The following is a 25083-nucleotide window of genomic DNA, read 5'->3' on the forward strand; positions in this document are numbered from 1 at the left end:
AGACGCAGGGAGCACTGTCCCCAGAGCACCAGTGTCCAGCAGACGCAGGGAGCACTGTCCCCAGAGCACCAGTGCTCAGCAGACGCAGGGAGCACTGTCCCCAGAGCACCAGTGCTCAGCAGACGCAGGGAGCACTGTCCCCAGAGCACCAGTGCTCAGCAGACGCAGGGAGCACTGTCCCCAGAGCACCAGTGCTCAGCAGACGCAGGGAGCACTGTCCCCAGAGCACCAGTGCTCAGCAGACGCAGGGAGCACTGTCCCCAGAGCACCAGTGTACAGCAGACGCAGGGAGCACTGTCCCCAGAGCACCAGTGTCCAGCAGACGCAGGGAGCACTGTCCCCAGAGCACCAGTGTCCAGCAGAAGCAGGGAGCACTGTCCCCAGAGCACCAGTGTCCAGCAGATGCAGGGAGCACTGTCCCCAGAGCACCAGTGCTCAGCAGATGCAGGGAGCACTGTCCCCAGAGCACCAGTGTACAGCAGACGCAGGGAGCACTGTACCCAGAGCACCAGTGTACAGCAGACGCAGGGAGCACTGTACCCAGAGCACCAGTGCTCGGCAGACGCAGGGAGCACTGTCCCCAGAGCACCAGTGTATAGCAGATGCAGGGAGCATTGTCCCCAGAGCACCAGTGCTTGGCAGACGCAGGGAGCACTGTCCCCAGAGCACCGGTGTCCAGCAGACGCAGGGAGCACTGTCCTCAGAGCACCAGTGTACAGCAGACACAGGGAGCACCGTCCCCAGAGCACCAATGCTCGGCGGACACAGGGAGCACTGTCCCCAGAGCACCAGTGCTCGGCAGATGCAGGGAGCACTGTCCCCAGAGCACCAGTGTACAGCAGATGCAGGGAGCACTGTTCCCAGAGCACCAGTGCTCGGCAGACGCAGGAAGCACTGTTCCCAGAGCACCAGTGTACAGCAGACGCAGGGAGCACTGTCCCCAGAGCACCAGTGCTCGGCAGACGCAGGGAGCACTGTACCCAGAGCACCAGTGTACGGCAGACACAGGGAGCACTGTACCCAGAGCACCAGTGTACAGCAGATGCAGGGAGCACTGTCCCCAGAGCACCAGTGCTTGGCAGACGCAGGGAGCACTGTCCCCAGAGCACCGGTGTCCAGCAGACGCAGGGAGCACTGTCCTCAGAGCACCGGTGTACAGCAGACACAGGGAGCACCGTCCCCAGAGCACCAATGCTCGGCAGACACAGGGAGCACTGTCCCCAGAGCACCAGTGCTCGGCAGATGCAGGGAGCACTGTCCCCAGAGCACCAGTGTACAGCAGATGCAGGGAGCACTGTTCCCAGAGCACCAGTGCTCGGCAGACGCAGGAAGCACTGTTCCCAGAGCACCAGTGCTCGGCAGACGCAGGGAGCACTGTCCCCAGAGCACCAGTGCTCGGCAGATGCAGGGAGCACTGTCCCCAGAGCACCAGTGTCCGGCAGATGCAGGGAGCACTGTCCCCAAAGCACCAGTGCTCGGCAGACGCAGGGAGCACTGTTCCCAGAGCACCAGCGTCCAGCAGATGCAGGGAGCGCCACACCGCACAGACAGAGGGAGATGAATAACCTTTAACCCACCTGAGATGCTGTTATGATTATTCACAGGGTGCACCTACCTGCTCTGAAGGTCATCCATGTTCAGCTCAGCGACGTAATGGGTGGCAGAGGAGACGGTGACCACCCTCGCACTGTGGCCAGGGGACCCAGACTCTTTCAGCGTATCCAAGAGAAGGTTGGTCAGCAGGAAGTGCCCTAGGTAGTTCAGGCCGAAATGTTCTTCGAATCCATCTCTGGTTTTCCTCTGAGGGACCATCATCACCCCAGCTGGACAAAAGAGAATATCAGAAGGAGTTAGACTGGGGAAGACAGTGGAGAAATCTCACAGATGGATTCCCCAGATGCGCAAATGGCCCAGGACATCGGAGGGTGGGGTGTAGAGCTGGCGGCCATGTCTTCCTCCTGGGCCTCTGTTTCCTGCTTTAGGTGTGATGGAGAAGATTCTAGAAGATCACTGAAGTCCCTTCCTGCCTTCTGTCTCTGCACCTCTGTGCCTTGAGTTTAAAAATAATAACCACAGGCCGGGCGCGGTGGCTCACGCCTGTCATCCCAGCACTTTGGGAGGCTGAGGCGGGTGGATCACCTGAGGTCAGAAGTTCATGCCTGTCATCCCAGCACTTTGGGAGGCCAAGGCGGGTGGATCATCTGAGGTCAGGACTTCAAGACCAGCCTGCCCAACATGGTGAAACCCTTGTCTCTAGTAAAAATACAAAAATTAGCCAGGTTTGGTGGCAGGGTCCTGTAGTTCCAGCTACTCAGGAGGCTGAGGCAGGAGAATTGCTTGAACCTGGGAGGCGGAGGTTGCAGTGAGCTGAGATCATGCCACTGCACTCCAGCCTGGTGACAGAGCGAGACTCCATCTCAAAAAAAAAAAAAAGGAAAAGAAAAATAATAACCACAATGATAACACAGCAACACACACAAGAGAGTGAGAATCATCCAAGTCACCAAACAGAGTCCCCTGGACAATTAATTATTCTGGGCGGCTAGGTGTGATGGCTCATACATGTAATCCCAGCCTTTGGGTAGGTGAGTAGGGCAGACTGCTTGACGTCAGGAGTTCGAGACCAGGCTGTGCACCACAGTGAAACTCCATCTTTACCAAAAATACAAAAAATTAGTGGGTGTGGTGGTGCGTGCCTGTAGTCCCAGCTACTCGGGGAGGTTGAGGCGGGAGGATTGTTTGAGCCCAAGAGGTGGAGGTTGCAGTGAGCCGAGATTGTGCTACTGCACCCCAGCCTGGGCAACAGAGATCCTGTCTCCCCCCAGAATTCTGGACAAGTATAGCTGCTATGGCACCCCCTCTTCACTGAGTATCCCACAAACAAACTGCTCAGATGTCCTTTGAGAAATGCCGACCTCAGTATAAACATGGCCTGTCCTCACCCCTAGACCACAGGGCAGCCCTGTCGGTCATCATTCTATAGACATCATCATCACCGCAGGTTCTGTGCTTGACATGTTCTATCTACCAGACACAGAACAGCCCACCCCTGTCAGGCCAAGCCCGGCTGAGCGCCTGCCCTGAAGTCCTTGCTGTGGAGGCCTGATCTCAAAGGTGACTTGTCCTAGAAACACGCACGAACCATACTGCCTTGTACTTAGAGCAGACCAGTTTGCTTGGATATTAATGCCAATGTAGATATGTATTTGTATGTACATGGATAATGTAGATGTGTATACATAGGCATGTTATATATGTACCTGGAATTCTGTATCTATCTACACGTAACGCAAATACAGGCACGTCTATTCATATACATATATGCATACGCATTTGTAAATGTGTTTATATAGCTATACACTTGGGTATATAACTGCATGTATGCATAATTCAAAGATATATGCCTATAGAGATATATGTTAGCATGTACATATGTGTTCACGTCTTTACATGCAGATTCATTTTCAAATGCCTATAAATTTGTGCATATTTTCTTTTACATATGTGTTGTATGCACATGTGCATGAGTTTGCATGTGTACACATTTATTCACATGTATATACATGTCCATACACATTTACATCTTTGCATGTGTATCTGCATACAGTGTATGTATATATTATATGTTTCTATTTGGAATTGTACAATCGCAAGTATTTGCATGTGTTCATACACCTACAAACACACAGCATTTGTCATTATTTGTACATTGGAACATCTACGTGTATTGCACGCATGAATATGCATTTTGATTCATCTGTGGAATCCCATAGCTTTTGCATTTGTGCACGTTTGCATTTGCAAATGCATTTGAGGTGTATGATTAATACACACACACACCTATCCATTTGCATATGGACACGTTTGTGTTCAAAGATGTATTTCAATATGGAGCTATATTGATATTTGTAGATCTATTTCTGTATTTGTATATATATGTGTTTGCATCTGCATGTGTACATATCTTTCTATGCATATGCATTTGTATATGTGTTTGTGTGTATTTTATATGGAGCTATCTATACATATATGTAGGTCTAGCATTTGTCTACATATTTGTATATGTATATCTGCATGTGTACATATTTTCCTATGCATATGCATTTGTATATATGCTTGTATTAGTGTGTATGTATTTTATATCTACACACAAATATATAGAGGTCTAGCATTTCTCTGTGTATTTGTACATGTATACATGCATCTGCAAGTGCACACATTTTTTATATGTACATGTATTTGTATATGTGCTTGTATTTGTGTGTATTTTATATGGAGATATCTACACATATATAGGCCTAGCATTTCTCTACTTATTTGTATATGTATACGTGTATCTGTACATGAATACATTTTCCTAGGTACATGCATTTGTTTATGTGCTTGTATGTGTGTGTGTATTTTATATGTATGTATTTATTTATTTTTTGAGGAGGAGTTTCGCTCTTGTCGTCCAGGCTGGAGTGCAATGAGGCAGTCTCGCCTCACTGCAACCTCCGCCTCCCAGGTTCAAGCAATTTTCCTGCCTTAGCCTCCCGAGTAGCTGGGATTACAGGCACCCACCACCACACGTGGCTAAATTTTTCTGTATTTTCAGTAGAGACGGGGTTTTGCCATGTTGGCCAGGCTGCTCTCAAACTCCTGACCTCAGGGGATCCGCCCACCTCGGCCTCCCTAAGTGCTGGGATTACAGGCGTGAGACACTGCACCCGGCCGTGTGTGTATTTTATATGGAGATATGTATATATCTATAGGTCTAGCGTTTCTGTATGTATTTGTGTATGTATATGTACATCTGCATAGCGTACATCTTTTTCTATGCATATGCATTTGTACACGTGCTTGTGTTTGTGTGTATCTTATATGGAGCTATCTATACATATATGTAGGTCTAGCATTTCTCTATGTGTTTGTATATGTAGAGGTGTATCCGTAGGTGTATACATTTTTTGAGGTACATGCATTTGTATATGTGCTTGCTTCTGTGTGTACTGTAATATCTGTATGTTATTTGTGCCTCGGTACATGGACCCATTTCCCTATAAATTTTTGATGCGTGTGCATTTGTGTACCTGCCTGTGTTTGTGTACACAGTCTTTCCAGTTGTACTTTATGAACACTCAAAACCAAAGCTGGCTCCTCGCCGGCTCAGCATTCCCAAAGAACCAAGCAGGAGCCACGTGGCCTTATCGACCCAACTTTGGAACTCCTACAGAGTTGTCACCACTGCCCCATTCTAGGAATTACGAGACAGTTAATGAGGACAGCCGAGATTCAAGAGACGGAGCAGGGACTCCAGCTCCCGAAGAGACAAGTGTGAAAAGAATTTGCAGGCCTGTTTTACAGCCTCTCCAACCCGCCTTTCAAAACTGTGGATGCACAGGCCGCACTGGATGCCCCATTGCGCGGAGGGCCCACAGAAGACTCAGCAGTGGGTCCCGCGGCTCTACACGTCCCTGGCCCCAGTGGAGGCTTGACAATTGTGAGGTCCTTGAGGAAAAACCAACGTCTTATTCTGGCTGTAGCCTCCACAGTGCGGTTGTAGTGCTTTGGGTACAGCAAGGGGGAAATAAAAAATAAACGTGGATGGAGATCTGCTGCTTTTGAGACGTGAAGCCACCTGGACTTCCTGGGTCGAGTGGAGACCCGGAGACCTTTTGTCTAGCTAAAGAATTGTAAAGGCACCAATCAGCACTCTAAAATGGACCATTCAGCAGTCTGTAAAATGGACCAATCAGTGCTCTGTAAAATGGACCAATCAATGCTCTATAAAATGGACCAATCAGCACTCTGTAAAATGGACCAATCAGCACTCTGTAAAATGGACCAATCAGCACTCTGTAAAATGGACCAGTCAGCAGGATGTGGGCGGGGCCAAATAAGGGAATAAAAGCTGGCCACCTGAGCCAGCTTGTGTCCCCTTCCACGTTGTGGAAACTTTGTTGTTTCACTCTTCACCATAAATCTTGCTGCTGCTCACTCTTTGGGTCTACACTACCTGTATGAGCTGTAAGACTCACTGCCAAGGTCCGCAGCTTCACTCCTGAAGTCAGCGAGTCTGCGAACCCACCAGAAGGAAAAAACTCCAGGCACATCTGAACATCTGAAGGAACAAACTCGGGACGCACCATCTTTAAAAGCCCTAACACTCACCGTGAGGGTCTGCGGCTTCATTCTTGAAGTCAGCGAGACCAAGAACCCACAAGAAGGAATAAATTCTGGACACACTCTCACAGAGAATGGTGGCAGGGGAGAGGCACCACCATGCCATTCCAGGCCTGTGGCCTGCTGAAATCCTCAGGGAGAAATGAGCAGACTGTTCAGGTGCAGTCCTTGCTTCTCACCTGCACACACTTTCCAGCCAGACTCAGTGCTTCCCCCTCCTACGTGAATATCTAGCTTTCAAAAAAACTTCCAGGATACAGAGAATTTATTCCCTGAGCTTATGCCTGTAAAACATCAGGAGTATAAACCAACTGGGAGGGATCCAATATCAATCAGGGTCCAGTATCAATCAGTCACAAGACACATGTGTATTAAACATTCAACACTCCTACAGTCCTCAAAGCCCATCTAACAAAACACTTCTGAGAAGTATGTCAGAATTCACCTCAGGAGTTATCCAGAAAAAAAGCCCGGCCCGGTGGGTCATGCCTGTAATCCTCCCAGCACTTTCAGAGGGCGAAGCGGGCAGATCAGTTCAGGTCAGGAGTTCGAGACCAGCTTGGCCAACATGGAGAAACCTTGTCTCTACTAAAAATACAAAATTAGCCGGGCGTGGTGGTGCATGCCTGTAATCCCAGCTACTCGGGAAGCTGAGGCAGGAGAATCGCTTGAACCTGGGAGGCAGAGGTTGCAGTGAGCCGAGATCACACCACTGCACTCCAGCCTGGGCGAAAGAGTGAGACAAAACGAAACAAAAAAACATACCTGCACCTGTCTGTTTCTTGCAGCACAACTCACAACTGCAAACATACGGAATCAACCTAAGTTGATTTTTGTCTCAAAAACAAAAAAAAACCAACAACAAAAAAACAAAAACACCAGAATAGGTTGCTGTGGGTGGACGGGAAGCTTTGCATTTTGATGAACTATAAACATCTTTTTCACGATGCCATTTTCCTCATATTTTATTTGATGTGAAGAATCTGGAGACACACAGCTCAATCCGTGCCTGAAGTGTCATAAATTCCCAGCTTAGGAGAGACGAGCTTATCATGAACACCTGGCTTATGCATGCATGGTTTTGAAAGGCAGCTTCAGGGGGCTCTAAAGCAGGCCTGCAAATTCTTTTGACACTCGTCTCCTTGGGAGCTAGAGTCTACGCCCCTTCCCTTGAATCTCGGCCATGCTCATTAACTTTCTCGTTAATTCTTTTGTAGAATGCCACAGTGGTGTAAACACTGTGTGACTTCCAAAGTTGGGTCAATAAGGTCACGTGGCCCCTGCTTGGTTCTTGGGAATGCTGAGTCTGGGAGGAGCCAGCTTTGGTTTAAAAAGACTGAGCACCTTCAGCCTGACATGCTGGAGAGGCCCCAGGTACCTGTTCTTGTTGGCCCTCCCAGCTAAGCCCAGGTGACAGGCTGTACCAGCTTCTTGACACCAGAGAAAGCTATCCTGGACATCCAACCTGGTCAAGCCTTCAGATAAAGTCAGCCCCAGCTGCAGCCCCACAGGAGACCCCCCAGGCAGAACTGCCTACATTCCTGTGCCCCGAAAGAAAGTGAATTCATACAAGCTGTATAGAAAACAGCACGGATGTTCCTCTCAAAGAACTAAAAGCAGATCATTTGTTCGATCCAGCAATCCCACTCCTGGGTATCTACCCAAAGGAAAAGAAGTCCTTATATCAAAAAGACACCTGCAGGCCAGGCATGGTGGCTCACGCCTGTCATCCCAGCACTTTGGGAGACCAAGGCGGGCAGATCACCTGAGGTCAGGAGTTCGAGAGCAGCCTGGGCAACATGGAGAAACCCCAGAATTGCTTGAACCCAGGAGGTGGAGGTTGCAGTGAGCCGAGATCGCACCACTGCACTCCAGCCTGGGTGACAGAGCAAGACTCCATCTCAAAAATAAATAAATCAATAAAATAAAATAATCAAACAAAACAATACAAAACAAAATACCTGCACCTGTCTGTTTCTTGCAGCACAACTCACAATTGCAAACATACGGAATCAACCTAAGTACCCCTCCGTGGAGTACTGGATAAAGAAAATGGAATGGAATACTACTAAGCCATTAAAAAGAGTGGAATCGTGTCATTGGCAGTAACTTGGATAGAACTGGAGGTTATTATTCTACGTGGAGTCACTCAAGAACAGAAAAGCAAATACACGTTCTCACTTGTAAGTGGGCACTAAGCTCTGGGTATGCTTCTGGCATTGAAGGGGCATACGGAATAGAGGAATACACATTAGAGACTGAGGGTGGGGCTGTGAGTGAACCTGTCACCCAGGAAATGGCCACTGTACCCAACAGGTGGTTTTTCATCCCCTGCCTCCCTCCCCCTACCTTCTAGCAGTCAAGAGTTTCTGCTCTTCCCATCTTTGTGTCCATGAGTACCCGCTGTGTACCTTCCAGGTGTAAGTCAGAACATGCAGTATTTGGTTTTCTGTTTCTGTGCTGGTTCTCTTAGGATAATGGCTTGCAGCTCTGAGCAAATTCTTGGTGACAACAGCATCGTTGGGGAAGGTATCTTTTGCAAGAGCAGAGGGGACAGTGCTTCTGTGCAGGCAGGTGGTGACCTGTGCTCCAGATGAATCCGAGCCGTGCTAGGGACTCGCCTGGCGGGGAAGCTGCGTGAGAATTCCTGCGCCGTGGTGAATGCAGCAGCCACGCGCAGGGGCCCTGGATGCTGATAATTCATCGTTAGTGAGCTACTGCGAGTAATTACGTTTATTCCTATTTTATTATTATTATTATTACTTTGAGGTAAACTCTTGCTGTGTCACCCAGACTGGAGTGCAGTGTTGTGATGTCGGCTCACTGCAACCTCTGCCTCCTGGGTTCAAGCGATTCTCCTGCCTCAGCCTCCCGAGTACATGGGATTACAGGCACCTGCCCCGATGGCCAGCTATTTTTTGTATTTTTAGTAGAGACGGGGTTTCACCATGTTGGCCAGGCTGCTCTTGAACTCCTAATCTCAACTGATCCTCCCGCCTTGGCCTCCCAAAGTGCTGGGACTACAGGTGTGAGCCACTGCACCCAGCCCTACTAATATTATTATTTTTTTGGAGACAGAGTCTCGCTCTGTCAACCAAGCTGGAGTGCAGTGTGTCCGTATTTTATTTTTTATTTCATTTTTTTTGAGATGGAGTCTCACTCTGTTGCCCAGGCTGGATTGCAGTGGGTTGAACTCGGCTCACTGCAACCTCCGCCTCCCGGGTTGAAGTGATTCTTCTGCCTCAGCCTCCCAAGTAGCTGGGATTACAGGTGTGCACCACAACACCCGGCTAAACTTTTTTTTTTTTTTTTTGTATTTTTAGTAGAGATGGGGTTTTGTCATGTTGACCAGTCTGGTCTCGAACTCCTGACCCCAAGTGATCTGCCCGCCTCAGCCTCCCAAAGTGCTGGGATCCCAGGTGTGAGCCACCGCGCCCGGCCACGCACCCGTATTTTAAACCACAGTGTCACGGAGACGTTTCTAGGCAGCAAACCCACCTGAAACGCTGATATTTACGGAACGAAAGCCTGACATATTCTGAAGGAGAAATTGTTTTGTTGTTGAGTTCTTTGCCAGTGGCTTTAGGTATTAATTTTCCTCTTCCTATGTAAGCAGAGCATTGAAAGACCAGATTGGTGCCAGGTAGAGAGATTGGATGGGTGCCTGAGATGCCTGTTAGGAGGCCATTATCATGGCCTAGGAAGAGATGATGGTACCCCAGAGGAGGGATTGACGGAAGTCCGAAATGCAGAATTGAGTACTAGTTAGACAATCGACGGCAAATTCAAATGCCTGTAGGCTTTTGTATGTGTTTTAAATTTTCCATAATCATGTTTTTTTCGGCATCAGTAAAATTCTATTTATTTATTTTTGTCAAGTTATTATTTTCTTTTAAATCAAAGGAAAGTATAAAAAAGGTGCACAGGGCTGGGCACGGTGACTCACACCTGTAATCCCAGCACTCTGGGAGGCCGAGGCAGGCGGATGACCTGAGGTCAGGAGTTTGAGACCAGCCTGGCCAACTTGGTGAAACCCCGTCTCTACTAAAAATACAAAAAAAAAAAAAAAATTAGCTGAGTGTGGTGGCGGGCACCTGTAATTTCAGCTGCTTGGGAGGCTGAGGCAGGAGAATTTCTGGAACTCAGGAGGCAGAGGTTGCAGTGAGCTGATATCGTGCACTGCACTCCAGCCCCGGCCGACAACAGCGAGACTATGTTTCAAAACAAAAAAAAAAAAGGTGCAGAGATCATGAGGGAAATCTCAATGGAATCATCCAAAGCGAGCACTCTCCCCTCTCAGGTAACCGCCTCCCACATCTGCACCCCTAAGCCCTTTTTTGATCCAAAATTAATTATCACATTCTTCTAAGGTAACTACAATTCCAATTTCCATTACCATAGATTTAATTTGCCTGTTTTTTTCTGGGAGGCGGAGATTGCAGTGAGAAGAGGTTGTGCCACTGCACTCCAGCCTGGGCGACAGAGCAAGGCTCTGTCTCAAAAAAGGAAATAAATAAATAAAATAAAATAATAATTTGCCTTTTTTTAAAAATTTTAATTTAATTTTATTTTTGAGATGGAGTCTCACTCTGTCGCTAGGCTGGAGTGCAGTGGCACAATCTCGGCCCACTGCAGCCTCTGCCTCCCGGGTTCCAGAAATTCTCCTGCCTCAGGCTCCTGAGTAGCTGGGATTACAGGTGTATGCTACTATGCCCAGCTAATTTCTGTATTTTTAGTAGAGACGGGATTTCACCGTGTTGGCCAGGATGGTCTCGAACTCCTGACCTCGTGATCCATCCACGTCGGCCTCCCAAAGTGCTGGGATTACAGGCGTGGGCCATCGCGCCCGGCCTGTTTCTTAAAATTTCAATAATTTTTGGGAAACCAGTGGTTTTGGGCTACATGGATACATTCTTTTGTGGTGACTTCTGAGATTTTGTTGCACAAGTTTTAATCATCAGCAAATATACTGATGTTTCATTGCGAATTTTGTAAGGAATAAGAAAACCCTGTGGCCACGTCAGTGTATCGGGTGCCGTCCACGTTAGGAGCATTCACGGAATCTGTCTCTTCGCCAATTCAAAGGTGGAGAATACACAATAGAACTATCGTTCATTGATCTGCGAATCGAAAGGTGGAAAATACAGAATAAAACTATCGTCCATCGATCTGCCAATTCAAAGGTGGAAAATAAACAGTAAAATTATCGTCCATTGATCTGCCAATTCAAAGGTGGAAAATACGCAATACAATTATCGTTCATTGGTCTGTGCACCTAATGGCATTTTACTGGGGAGTGAACGCTCAGGGTCACAATCACATATTGTGCCTGAAGCAGTGAACACAGGTGAGGTGTATCCTGAACGGGAGGAGAAGGGAGAGTTCTCCGCTCTCCAAGCGGAGAACTCCAGAGAAAGGAGAGTGATGGGGATGAAAGGGCAATCAGAGAGAGAGAGAGGAGAGAGAGAGGGAGGGCAAAGAAGGAAGAGAGAAGGAGAGGGAGGAAATAGGGAGAAAGAGAGACAAAGAGAGATGGAGAGGGAACAGGGAGAGAGAGGGAGGGCAAACGAGAGGGAGAGAGAAGGAGGGGAGGAAATAGGGGAAAGAGAGAAAGAGAGATGGAGAGGGAACAGGGAGAGAGAGGGAGGGCAAACGAGAGAGGGAGAGAGAAGGAAGAGGAGGAAATGGGGGAAGAGAGAGAAAGAGAGATGGAGAGGGAACAGGGAGAGAGAGGGAGGGCAAACGAGAGGGAGAGAGGAGGAGAGGGAGGAAATAGGGGGAAAGAGAGAAAGAGAGATGGAGAGGGAACAGGGAGAGAGAGGGAGGGCAAACGAGAGAGGGAGAGAGAAGGAAGAGGAGGAAATAGGGGAAAGAGAGAAAGAGAGATGGAGAGGGAACAGGGAGAGAGAGGGAGGGCAAACGAGAGAGGGAGAGAGAAGGAAGAGGAGGAAATGGGGGAAAGAGAGAAAGAGAGATGGAGAGGGAACAGGGAGAGAGAGGGAGGGCAAACGAGAGAGGGAGAGAGAAGGAAGAGGAGGAAATGGGGGAAAGAAAGAGAAAGAGAGATGGAGAGGGAACAGGGAGAGAGAGGGAGGGCAAACGAGAGGGAGAGAGAAGGAGGGGAGGAAATAGGGGAAAGAGAGAGAAAGAGAGATGGAGAGGGAACAGGGAGAGAGAGGGAGGGCAAACGAGAGAGGGAGAGAGAAGGAAGAGGAGGAAATGGGGGAAAGAGAGAGAAAGAGAGATGGAGAGGGAACAGGGAGAGAGAGGGAGGGCAAACGAGAGGGAGAGAGAAGGAGGAGGAGGAAATGGGGGAAAGAGAGAGAAAGAGAGATGGAGAGGGAACAGGGAGAGAGAGGGAGGGCAAACGAGAGGGAGAGAGAAGGAGGAGGAGGAAATGGGGGAAAGAGAGAGAAAGAGAGATGGAGAGGGAACAGGGAGAGAGAGGGAGGGCAAACGAGAGGGAGAGAGAAGGAGGAGGAGGAAATGGGGGAAAGAGAGAGAAAGAGAGATGGAGAGGGAACGGGGAGAGAGAGGGAGGGCAAACGAGAGGGAGAGAGAAGGAGGAGGAGGAAATGGGGGAAAGAGAGAGAAAGAGAGATGGAGAGGGAACAGGGAGAGAGAGGGAGGGCAAACGAGAGGGAGAGAGAAGGAGGAGGAGGAAATGGGGGAAAGAGAGAGAAAGAGAGATGGAGAGGGAACGGGGAGAGAGAGGGAGGGCAAACGAGAGGGAGAGAGAAGGAAGAGGAGGAAATGGGGGAAAGAGAGAGAGAGATGGAGAGGGAACGGGGAGAGAGAGGGAGGGCAAACGAGAGAGGGAGAGAGAAGGAGGAGGAGGAAATGGGGGAAAGAGAGAGAAAGAGAGATGGAGAGGGAACGGGGAGAGAGAGGGAGGGCAAACGAGAGGGAGAGAGAAGGAGGAGGAGGAAATGGGGGAAAGAGAGAGAAAGAGAGATGGAGAGGGAACGGGGAGAGAGAGGGAGGGCAAACGAGAGGGAGAGAGAAGGAAGAGGAGGAAATGGGGGAAAGAGAGAGAGAGATGGAGAGGGAACGGGGAGAGAGAGGGAGGGCAAACGAGAGAGGGAGAGAGAAGGAGGAGGAGGAAATGGGGGAAAGAGAGAGAAAGAGAGATGGAGAGGGAACGGGGAGAGAGAGGGAGGGCAAACGAGAGGGAGAGAGAAGGAGGAGGAGGAAATGGGGGAAAGAGAGAGAAAGAGAGATGGAGAGGGAACGGGGAGAGAGAGGGAGGGCAAACGAGAGGGAGAGAGAAGGAGGAGGAGGAAATGGGGGAAAGAGAGAGAAAGAGAGATGGAGAGGGAACGGGGAGAGAGAGGGAGGGCAAACGAGAGGGAGAGAGAAGGAGGAGGAGGAAATGGGGGAAAGAGAGAGAAAGAGAGATGGAGAGGGAACGGGGAGAGAGAGGGAGGGCAAACGAGAGAGGGAGAGAGAAGGAAGAGGAGGAAATGGGGGAAAGAGAGAGAAAGAGAGATGGAGAGGGAACAGGGAGAGAGAGGGAGGGCAAACGAGAGGGAGAGAGAAGGAGGAGGAGGAAATGGGGGAAAGAGAGAGAAAGAGAGATGGAGAGGGAACAGGGAGAGAGAGGGAGGGCAAACGAGAGGGAGAGAGAAGGAGGAGGAGGAAATGGGGGAAAGAGAGAGAAAGAGAGATGGAGAGGGAACAGGGAGAGAGAGGGAGGGCAAACGAGAGGGAGAGAGAAGGAGGAGGAGGAAATGGGGGAAAGAGAGAGAAAGAGAGATGGAGAGGGAACGGGGAGAGAGAGGGAGGGCAAACGAGAGGGAGAGAGAAGGAGGAGGAGGAAATGGGGGAAAGAGAGAGAAAGAGAGATGGAGAGGGAACAGGGAGAGAGAGGGAGGGCAAACGAGAGGGAGAGAGAAGGAGGAGGAGGAAATGGGGGAAAGAGAGAGAAAGAGAGATGGAGAGGGAACAGGGAGAGAGAGGGAGGGCAAACGAGAGGGAGAGAGAAGGAGGAGGAGGAAATGGGGGAAAGAGAGAGAAAGAGAGATGGAGAGGGAACGGGGAGAGAGAGGGAGGGCAAACGAGAGGGAGAGAGAAGGAAGAGGAGGAAATGGGGGAAAGAGAGAGAGAGATGGAGAGGGAACGGGGAGAGAGAGGGAGGGCAAACGAGAGGGAGAGAGAAGGAAGAGGAGGAAATGGGGGAAAGAGAGAGAGAGATGGAGAGGGAACGGGGAGAGAGAGGGAGGGCAAACGAGAGAGGGAGAGAGAAGGAAGAGGAGGAAATGGGGGAAAGAGAGAGAAAGAGAGATGGAGAGGGAACAGGGAGAGAGAGGGAGGGCAAACGAGAGGGAGAGAGAAGGAAGAGGAGGAAATGGGGGAAAGAGAGAGAGAGATGGAGAGGGAACGGGGAGAGAGAGGGAGGGCAAACGAGAGGGAGAGAGAAGGAAGAGGAGGAAATGGGGGAGAGAGAAAGAGAGATGGAGAGGGAACGGGGAGAGAGAGGGAGGGCAAACGAGAGGGAGAGAGAAGGAAGAGGAGGAAATGGGGGAAAGAGAGAGAGAGATGGAGAGGGAACGGGGAGAGAGAGGGAGGGCAAACGAGAGAGGGAGAGAGAAGGAGGAGGAGGAAATGGGGGAAAGAGAGAGAAAGAGAGATGGAGAGGGAACGGGGAGAGAGAGGGAGGGCAAACGAGAGGGAGAGAGAAGGAGGAGGAGGAAATGGGGGAAAGAGAGAGAAAGAGAGATGGAGAGGGAACGGGGAGAGAGAGGGAGGGCAAACGAGAGGGAGAGAGAAGGAGGAGGAGGAAATGGGGGAAAGAGAGAGAAAGAGAGATGGAGAGGGAACGGGGAGAGAGAGGGAGGGCAAACGAGAGGGAGAGAGAAGGAGGAGGAGGAAATGGGGGAAAGAGAGAGAAAGAGAGATGGAGAGGGAACGGGGAGAGAGAGGGAGGGCAAACGAGAGAGGGAGAGAGAAGGAAGAGGAGGAAATGGGGGAAAGAGAGAGAAAGAGAGATGGAGAGGGAACAGGGAGAGAGAGGGAGGGCAAACGAGAGGGAGAGAGAAGGAGGAGGAGGAAATGGGGGAAAGAGAGAGAAAGAGAGATGGAGAGGGAACAGGGAGAGAGAGGGAGGGCAAACGAGAGGGAGAGAGAAGGAGGAGGAGGAAATGGGGGAAAGAGAGAGAAAGAGAGATGGAGAGGGAACAGGGAGAGAGAGGGAGGGCAAACGAGAGGGAGAGAGAAGGAGGAGGAGGAAATGGGGGAAAGAGAGAGAAAGAGAGATGGAGAGGGAACGGGGAGAGAGAGGGAGGGCAAACGAGAGGGAGAGAGAAGGAGGAGGAGGAAATGGGGGAAAGAGAGAGAAAGAGAGATGGAGAGGGAACAGGGAGAGAGAGGGAGGGCAAACGAGAGGGAGAGAGAAGGAGGAGGAGGAAATGGGGGAAAGAGAGAGAAAGAGAGATGGAGAGGGAACAGGGAGAGAGAGGGAGGGCAAACGAGAGGGAGAGAGAAGGAGGAGGAGGAAATGGGGGAAAGAGAGAGAAAGAGAGATGGAGAGGGAACGGGGAGAGAGAGGGAGGGCAAACGAGAGGGAGAGAGAAGGAAGAGGAGGAAATGGGGGAAAGAGAGAGAGAGATGGAGAGGGAACGGGGAGAGAGAGGGAGGGCAAACGAGAGGGAGAGAGAAGGAAGAGGAGGAAATGGGGGAAAGAGAGAGAGAGATGGAGAGGGAACGGGGAGAGAGAGGGAGGGCAAACGAGAGAGGGAGAGAGAAGGAAGAGGAGGAAATGGGGGAAAGAGAGAGAAAGAGAGATGGAGAGGGAACAGGGAGAGAGAGGGAGGGCAAACGAGAGGGAGAGAGAAGGAAGAGGAGGAAATGGGGGAAAGAGAGAGAGAGATGGAGAGGGAACGGGGAGAGAGAGGGAGGGCAAACGAGAGGGAGAGAGAAGGAAGAGGAGGAAATGGGGGAAAGAGAGAGAGAGATGGAGAGGGAACGGGGAGAGAGAGGGAGGGCAAACGAGAGAGGGAGAGAGAAGGAAGAGGAGGAAATGGGGGAAAGAGAGAGAAAGAGAGATGGAGAGGGAACAGGGAGAGAGAGGGAGGGCAAACGAGAGGGAGAGAGAAGGAAGAGGAGGAAATGGGGGAAAGAGAGAGAGAGATGGAGAGGGAACGGGGAGAGAGAGGGAGGGCAAACGAGAGGGAGAGAGAAGGAAGAGGAGGAAATGGGGGAAAGAGAGAGAGAGATGGAGAGGGAACGGGGAGAGAGAGGGAGGGCAAACGAGAGGGAGAGAGAAGGAGGAGGAGGAAATGGGGGAAAGAGAGAGAAAGAGAGATGGAGAGGGAACGGGGAGAGAGAGGGAGGGCAAACGAGAGGGAGAGAGAAGGAGGAGGAGGAAATGGGGGAAAGAGAGAGAAAGAGAGATGGAGAGGGAACGGGGAGAGAGAGGGAGGGCAAACGAGAGGGAGAGAGAAGGAGGAGGAGGAAATGGGGGAAAGAGAGAGAAAGAGAGATGGAGAGGGAACGGGGAGAGAGAGGGAGGGCAAACGAGAGAGGGAGAGAGAAGGAGGAGAGGGAGGAAATAGGGGAAAGAGAGAGAAAGAGAGATGGAGAGGGAACGGGGAGAGAGAGGGAGGGCAAACGAGAGGGAGAGAGAAGGAAGAGGAGGAAATGGGGGAAAGAGAGAGAGAGATGGAGAGGGAACGGGGAGAGAGAGGGAGGGCAAACGAGAGAGGGAGAGAGAAGGAGGAGGAGGAAATGGGGGAAAGAGAGAGAAAGAGAGATGGAGAGGGAACGGGGAGAGAGAGGGAGGGCAAACGAGAGGGAGAGAGAAGGAGGAGGAGGAAATGGGGGAAAGAGAGAGAAAGAGAGATGGAGAGGGAACGGGGAGAGAGAGGGAGGGCAAACGAGAGGGAGAGAGAAGGAAGAGGAGGAAATGGGGGAAAGAGAGAGAAAGAGAGATGGAGAGGGAACGGGGAGAGAGAGGGAGGGCAAACGAGAGGGAGAGAGAAGGAAGAGGAGGAAATGGGGGAAAGAGAGAGAGAGATGGAGAGGGAACAGGGAGAGAGAGGGAGGGCAAACGAGAAAGGAAGAGAGAAGGAGAGGGAGGAAATAAGGGGAGAGACAGAGAAAGAGACAGAGAGAAAGAGAGAAAGGGGGAGAGAAGGAAGGCAAAGGAGAGAGGAGGAGAGATGGGGGAAGGAGGAAAGAGAGAGAAGTGGGACACAGAGGAAGACAAAGGAGATAGAGAGACAAGGGGAGAGACAGGAAGAGAAAGGAGATAGGGAGAAGAGGGAGGGTGTGCGAGAGGGAAACAGAAAGGGAGAGAGAGAAGAAAGAGGGGAGAGAGAAGAAAGAGGGGAGGGAGAGAAGAAGGGAAAGGGAGGGAGAGAGGGAGAGAGAGAATGGGAGAAAAGGAGAGAGAGAAGAGGGGAGAAAGAGGGAGAGAGGGAAGGAAGGAGAGAGGGAGGGAGGGAGAGGGAGAATGGGAGAGAGAGAAGAGGGGAGAAAGCGAGGGAGGGAGGGGGAGAGAGAGAAGAAAGAGAGAAGAGAGAAAGAGAGAGAGGGAGAGAGAGGGAGAAAGGGAGAGAGAGAAGGGAGAAGGGGAGAGAGAGGGGGAGAGAGGGAGGGAGGAGGGAGAAGGGAGGTCGAGAGCAAAATAGTAGAAGCGGGGATGGGGTAGACTGAGGAGAGAGAGAGACAGAGAGAAAAAGCAAAAGAGAGGAAAAGTGAGACAGTGAAGAGGTGGAAAGAGAGAATGACAGAGAGACGGGGAGAAGGAGGAGAGAGAGACAGAGAGTTACAGAAAGAGAGAGAGAGAGGAGAAAAGCATTTGAGTAACTGAAAAACCACTGCTTCTCAACCCACTTCCTAGAATCTCGGGAGGGCGGTGGGAAGGATGGAGCCAGTCCAGGGAGGCTATGGGACGGACGCCCTGAACATCTAGCCTTCTCTGGCAGGGAACAGCCTGCCGCAGAGTCACAACAGACCACATCCCATGCTGCTGCCAACACCAACACTAAAAGAACATCCAAATGCCTCCTGTTCAGAGAAGGCGCCATCGGGAGAGGCAGAGGAAACCACTACGGAACAGAAAGCTACTCTATCCACAGGAGAGCAGCTCTGGAAGAGAAGCAAACAGAAGGCACGCAGAATAAATGGTCTACACCTGTGCAGACTCAAGGATCCGCTGACGAATGCATGCGCCGCGATGCAACACTTTCCGTCTTCCCGGGAGGGAGACCAGATGACTGTGGAGCCCGAGTCACATAGAAAATGCCAGGCGCCCACAAAGACAGGAGATGGCTGCTCAGGTGTCCGTCCACCAAAAAGTGGGTCCTCAGTAAGGACCGGCTCCACTGCACCTCAGTCTTCTGTTGATGCAGAACTGCACACCTGGGCTTCCCCGAATGAATCTTCCTTAACTCTCATGGGTCTTGTAGGTGCCCTGTGCCCATTTGCTCATTTGAATGAACTCATTAGAATTCATTCATTCATTTGATTCCATTCATTCATTTGCATCATTTGAATTCATTCCTTCTTTTGAATTCACTTGTTCCTTTGAATTCATTCATTCACTTGAATTTATTCATTTAAATTCACTCATTTGAATTCATTCATTCATTCCTTTGAATTCGTTCATTCCTTTGAATTCACTCATTCCTTTGAATTCACTCATTCCTTTGAATTCACTCATTCCTTTGAATTCACTCATTCCTTTGAATTCACTCATTCCTTTGAATTCATTCATTCATTCCTCTGAATTTATTCATTCCTTTGAATTCATTCGTTCCTTTGACTTCATTTGTTCATTCATTTGAATTCATTCCTTCATTTGAATTTATTCATTCCCTTGAATTCATTCAGATTCACTCATTTGAATTCATTCATTCATTCCTTTGAATTCATTCCTTTGAATTCATACATTCCTTTCAATTCATTTAGTCCTTTGAATTCATTCGTTCCTTTGAATTCATTTGTTCATTCATTAGAATTCATTCATTCCTTAGAATTAATTCATTTGAATTCATTTGTTCATTCCTTTGAATTCATTTGCATTCATTCATTCCTCTGAATTCATTCATTCATTTGAATTCTTTCATTCATTCATTCACTCATTTGAATTCATTCAAGTGAATGAATGAATTTGAATGAATGAATGAATGAATGAATGAATGGGTGAATGAAGAACTGTACCAAAAAACAGAGTCTTTAGGTCTCTGGCCAGGGAAGAATCATTGTTATTTTTCAGGGTCACCCTGTATCGTGGACGTATTTCTTTGGTGGTAGGAAAAATAATGCTTAGTAATTCATTATCTCAGAAAGAAATTCATCCATTAGAGTTATGGGAAGATGGCTGACAAGGATAAATCTATAAATCCTCTGCATTATTAAAAATCTATCAATTTTCAGACATGGGGATGGGAAGCTAGATAAATACAATTTTGAAGTGAATAAACCATAAATACCGGCTCTGCAGGAGGTCTATTATTGATTTATTCTTGTGCTTGATAAATCATCGCGTTGCCTCTGAGCTTCCCACAGCAGCCAGACAGAGGCAGTCAGGTTCTATTTTCAACCCACTAGCAAATGAAAAAGATATTCTATGTCTGAAGTATTTAATGTTTGCAAAACCTTGATTGCTCTAAGAATAAAAAAAGAAAAGCACGAAGTGTAGCTCCTTCTTGCCTTGGAAGTCACCCTGGCTGAGCTCAGCTGGGGCTGTTTTCCATGAGACTTGAGGCACGTGGTTGACTAGCAGGAGTTTTGGAGGGAAGGTTCTGGGGAAATAGTTTAGGGCAGCAGTCTCCAACCTTTTTGGCACCAGGGACCACTTTTGTGAAAGACAATTTTCTGAAGACAGAAGGTGGAGGTGGAATGTGGGGATGGTTTTGGGATGATTCCGGGGCATGACATTTATTGTACACTTTATTTGTATTATTATTACATTGTACTATATAATGAAATAATTCTACAAGTCGCCATCATATAGAATCAGTGGGAGCCCTGAGCTTGTTTTCCTGTGACTAGACAGTCCCATCTGGGGGTGATGGGAGACAGTGACAGATCATCAGGAATTAGATTCCATAAGGAGCACACAACCTAGATCCTTCCCATGCACAGATCATCAGGCTTTAGCTTTTCATAAGGAGTGCACAACCTAAGTCCCTCACATGCACAGTTCACAGTAGGGTTTGTGCTCCTATAAGAATCTAATGCTGCTGCTGATCTGACAGGAGGCAGAGCTCAGGCAGTCATGTGAACAATGGGGAGTGGCTGTAAATACAGATGAAGCTTTGCTTGTTCACTTGCCACTCACCTTCTGCTGTGCGGCCGGTGTCCTAACAGGCCATGGACTGGTACTATGACCTGGGGGTTGGACAGCCCTGGTTTAGGGGTCTGCAGACCCCCTACTAGCCTCTTAGACACTAAAAGTACCACCACTGGAGTCCTTCCCTGAGGCTGCCTATAAATAGAAACTCTATTTACATAAGTTGACACCAGCAATATCCCAAACATACAATCCAGCAATCTCATTTGCACACAACGAAGAAGAATTCTGATGCACAAACCAACGAGAAAAATCCTTGATTTCTTCTCTAAGTCAAGGTACATCTGGCCCAAGCTTCAGCACACCAGCTGGTGATGAACCCATTCTCAGCGTTGACTGTATAGAATCCAGCCTTCTCATTTGCACACAACGAAGATGAATTCTGATGCATAAACCAAGGCATGCAACAAATGAGAAAAATCCTTTACTTCTTCTCTAAATCAACGTACATCTGGCTCAAGCCTCCAGCACAAGAGCTGGTGATGAATCCATTCTCAACGCTGACTGTGTAGAATCCAGCCTTCTCATTTGCACACCACGAAGATGAATTCTGATGCACAAACTAAGGCATGCAATAAATGAGAAAAATACTTTGCTTCTTCCCTAAATCCAGGTACATCAGACCCAGGCCTCCAGCACACGGGCTTGTGCTGAATCCATTCTCAGTGCTGACTGTATAGAATCCAGCCTCGTCATTTGCACACCATGAAGATGAATTCTGATGCACAAACCAAGGCAAAAAATGCTTTACTTCCTCTCTAAATCAAGGTTCATCTGGCCCAAGCCTCCAGCACACAGGCTGGTGATGAATCCATTCTCAGCATAGACTGTGCCATCTGGGCTACTTCTGGCTTGAGGAGCACTTATCCCTGCAGCTTTCCATCCACCCTGGGTACCTCGGGAGGCCCCTTTCCAAGCCCATGGGCTTCACGAAGCTCCATGGTTCTGTTGCATTTCCAAGAGAACCAAGAGGATTTGTCAACAAGAGACTGCCTCTCTGCATTTCTGTCTTCTTGTGAAGAGTGGGCAATGGGTATTCAACACAGCCTCCAAAAGCGAAGTCTCCAGCTCTTTTCTAGAAGCTTCTGTCTGTACCCACAGAGGAAAAAAAAAAAAATCCAGATCCTCTGCAACTGAGCTCTTCTCAACAGTGACCCCAGGGACAAGATGAACCTTAGTCAGCCACAAAAACCTATAGGGAGTCCAGGAAAGCCACAGCCTGAGCAACCTCTTGAAAGATGTAGAACAAAAAGATAAAAGGAAGAAAGTGCAAAGTGTTATTTCAAGCCATCATCTTGTAACAAATGGATTCTCATTATCACCTCCTGGAAATGGTGTTCTGAGCAGCACAGGCTGGGGAATTCCAGGGAGGCGTGTGACTTGGGGTGCAATCTTCTCTGTACTTTACAAGACTGTGTTGTCACATTGCAAGAGGTGTGTTTTCTAAGGCAGAACATTTCACAGAATGATTATTGGTCCAATGTTTGTTTCCGTTGCTAAAGTATGATTTCTATGAGGTCAAGAATCTTGCTTATTATTTTATTTTTCCTGCAAGCGAAGTATGTGAAGGGCAGAGTAGGTAGGTATGGCAGGTTAAATAATGCACAACTCAAGATGTCCAGGTCCACATTATTCATGTGGGAGACAGAATCATGACCCCAAAAATGCCCACACTGTAATCCCCATGTGGGAGACACAATAATGGCCCCAAAGATGTCCACATCCTAATCCTCAGGTGGAAGACAGAATAATGGCCCCAAAAATGTCCACATCCTAATCCTCATGTGGAAGACAGAATAATGACCCAAAGATGTCCACATCCCAATCCTCATGTGGAAGACAAAATAATGGCCCTGAAGATGTCCACATCCTAATCCCCATGTGGTAGACAGAATAATGGCCCCAAAGATGTCCACATCCCAATCCCCATGTGGTACACAGAATAATGGCCCCGAAGATGTCCATATCCGAATCCCCATGTGGGAGACAGAATAATGGCCCCGAAGATGTCCATATCCAAATCCCCATGTGGAAGACAGAATAATGGCCCCAAAGATGTCCACATCCTAATCCCCATGTGGAAGCCGAACAATGGCCCCAAAGATGTCCATATGTTAATTCCCATGTGGTAGATAGAATAATAGCCCCAAAGATGTTCACATTCTAATCCTCATGTGGGAAACAGAATAATGGCCCCAAAGATGTCCACATCCTAATCCTCATGTGGAAGACTGAATAATGGCTCTAAAGATGTCCACAGACTAATTCTCATGTGGTCGACACAATAATGACCCCAGAGATGCCCACAACCTATTCCCAATTTGGAAGAGTAATAACTCAAAAGATGAAAAAATGTCCATGTCCTCATCTCTGGAACACATGAAAATGTGACTTTCACGGCAAAAGGGCCTTTGTAGATGTGAATTAGTGGAAGATCTTGAGATGAGGTGATTATCTGAGATGATCCTGGTGGGCCCCAAATAATCACAATGGTTCTTCTACAAGGCAGGCAGAAGAACAAAAGTAAGTGAAGGAGATAAAAAAAAAGAGAAGGCAAGATGAGAGAGAGAAAGAGAGAGAAGGGAAGAGAGGGAGAGAGAGAGAACAAGAAAGAGAGATTCAAAGGTGTCTCATTGCTGGCTTTGTTGTTGTTTTTGTTGTTTTGAGATGGAGTTTTGCTCTTGTTGCCCAGACTGGAGTGCAGTGGTGTGATCTCAGCTTACTGCAACCTCTGCCTCCCGGGTTCAAGCAATTCTCCTGCCTCAGCCTCCCGAGTAGCTGGGATTACAGGCATGCGCCACCATGCCCAGCTAATTTTGTATTTTTAGTAGAGACAGGGTTTCACAATGTTGTCCACGTTGGTCTCGAACTCCTGACCTCACGTAATCCACCTGCCTCGGCCTCCCAAAGTGCTGAGGTTACAGGCGTGAGCCACTATCATTGCTGGCTTTAAGGCCGGGTTGGAGGCCATGGGTGAAGAAACGCTGACAGTCTTCTAAAAACTGGGGAAGGAAATACTCTCCTCTAGAACCAGTGTCAGCCATAGACTCAGGAATTTCACACTGGACTTACTGGCTTGAGGTGCCTCTGAGGCATTGAGCGAAGGTAAAAGGTCTTAGCATGGAAGAAAGGTCTAGATAAGTCTAGGAAGAAGTAAACCCAATATGTGCATGAGATTTTCTACAGAAGAGATAGGGTACAGAGACAATCCAACAACAAGACCCTTTTGATTCAAATTCAACCCTGTCCCAGTTTCCAGAATATTTTTGTTTGTTTCTGAGAGCCCTGTGTGCCTTGTTTAAAATCTGTTGAGAAAAGGAACAGAGGAGAATCCTAGGAATGCAATAGCCATTTCAAAAGGTAAACGTGGTGGTTGAGTGATGGAGTATACGCTGGTTAGCCTGTGTCAACTGGTGTTAGCCTGTATCCACTGTCACAGATGTGGTTCATATACACATTGCTCAGTAAAATTCTGCTCCCCCCAGAACACAGTAAGATTCTGCTGGAGAAACATATCATATCTGACATTCCTAATTTTTTTTTTTTTTTGAAACAGTCTTGCTCTGTTGCTCAGGCTGGAGTGCAATGGTGTGGTCTCGGCTCACTGCAGCCTCCACCTCCCAGGTTCAAGCGATTCTCCTGCCTCAGCCTCCTGAGTAGCTGGGACTACAGATGCCCGCCACCACGCCTGGCTAATATTTGTATTTTTAGTAGAGACAGGGTTTCACCATATTGGTCAGGCTGGTCTGGAACCCCTGACCTCAGGTGATCCACTCACCTCAGCCTCCCAAAGTGTTGGGATTACAGGGGTGAGCCACCGCGCCCGGCCTGAGATTCCTAATTTTTTCTGCTTACTGGTGGATGCAAGCCCATACCAAATGGATGGAAGTAGTCGCACAAAAGTCCTAAGAGGATGGACAGTTCTGTTTTGTGTGTCTCTGTGCAAGGGCACCATGTCATGTATGTATTTCCATCTCCAACTGCTCTGTGATAAAGTGCTCCCATTACTAATGAGTAAGGGTGTTACACAGAACGAGGAAATGAGACGTCGGGTCGTGTAGGATCTCCACAGTGCCTCTAAGTGGTCTCCACATTTGGTGACTTATAATGCTATAATTCTAATCACTTCTAATACTGATAGGTCTTCAGCAAAGGAAGTCCACACCCAGTGCTGAGACAGAAGATTCCAAATGGCTGCTGACTGGGAAATCATTTATGCCTGCGTAGAAACTTCAGATCCCACCAGGATGGCAAATCTGAAAAGTGTTATTGATCTCCAAAGAAGACACACAAAGTTAAAATCATTCCGGACCTTCCAACAGGAGCCACTAGCACTGATAATACGATGTTTCTTACCAGGCTAAGTACATGGAAATGGTGTTGTCTGTAGCTATTTGAGTGGCACTCACACATCATAGCTATGTCTGCACGTATTTTTATGCATAAATACATATACATCATACATCAAATACATATACAAATACATATGCACTCACACATAGCTATGTCTGTACAAATTTTTATGCATAAATTGGCATCACACTCTATGTATAGTTTTATATCCCATGCTTCTCCTTTAAACTCTAGCATAATAATTTCCAATTAAACAAGTGGGTTGA

The 25083-nt window shown here is 48.6% G+C and overlaps 1 protein-coding gene across 1 annotated transcript in view; it reads right to left on the reverse strand.

Annotated features, from left to right (window-relative positions):
* Positions 1-25083, reverse strand: part of DHRSX (dehydrogenase/reductase X-linked) — a 281471-nt gene that overhangs the window by 45619 nt on the left and 210769 nt on the right. The window contains exon 5 of the mRNA NM_145177.3: positions 1616-1823. Within this exon, the coding sequence (NP_660160.2) occupies positions 1616-1823 (208 nt within the window). The remainder of the gene's footprint in view (positions 1-1615; positions 1824-25083) is intronic.

This window comes from Homo sapiens, chromosome Y (assembly GCF_000001405.40).
Source record: "Homo sapiens chromosome Y, GRCh38.p14 Primary Assembly".
Classification (NCBI taxonomy): Eukaryota; Metazoa; Chordata; class Mammalia; order Primates; family Hominidae; genus Homo; species Homo sapiens.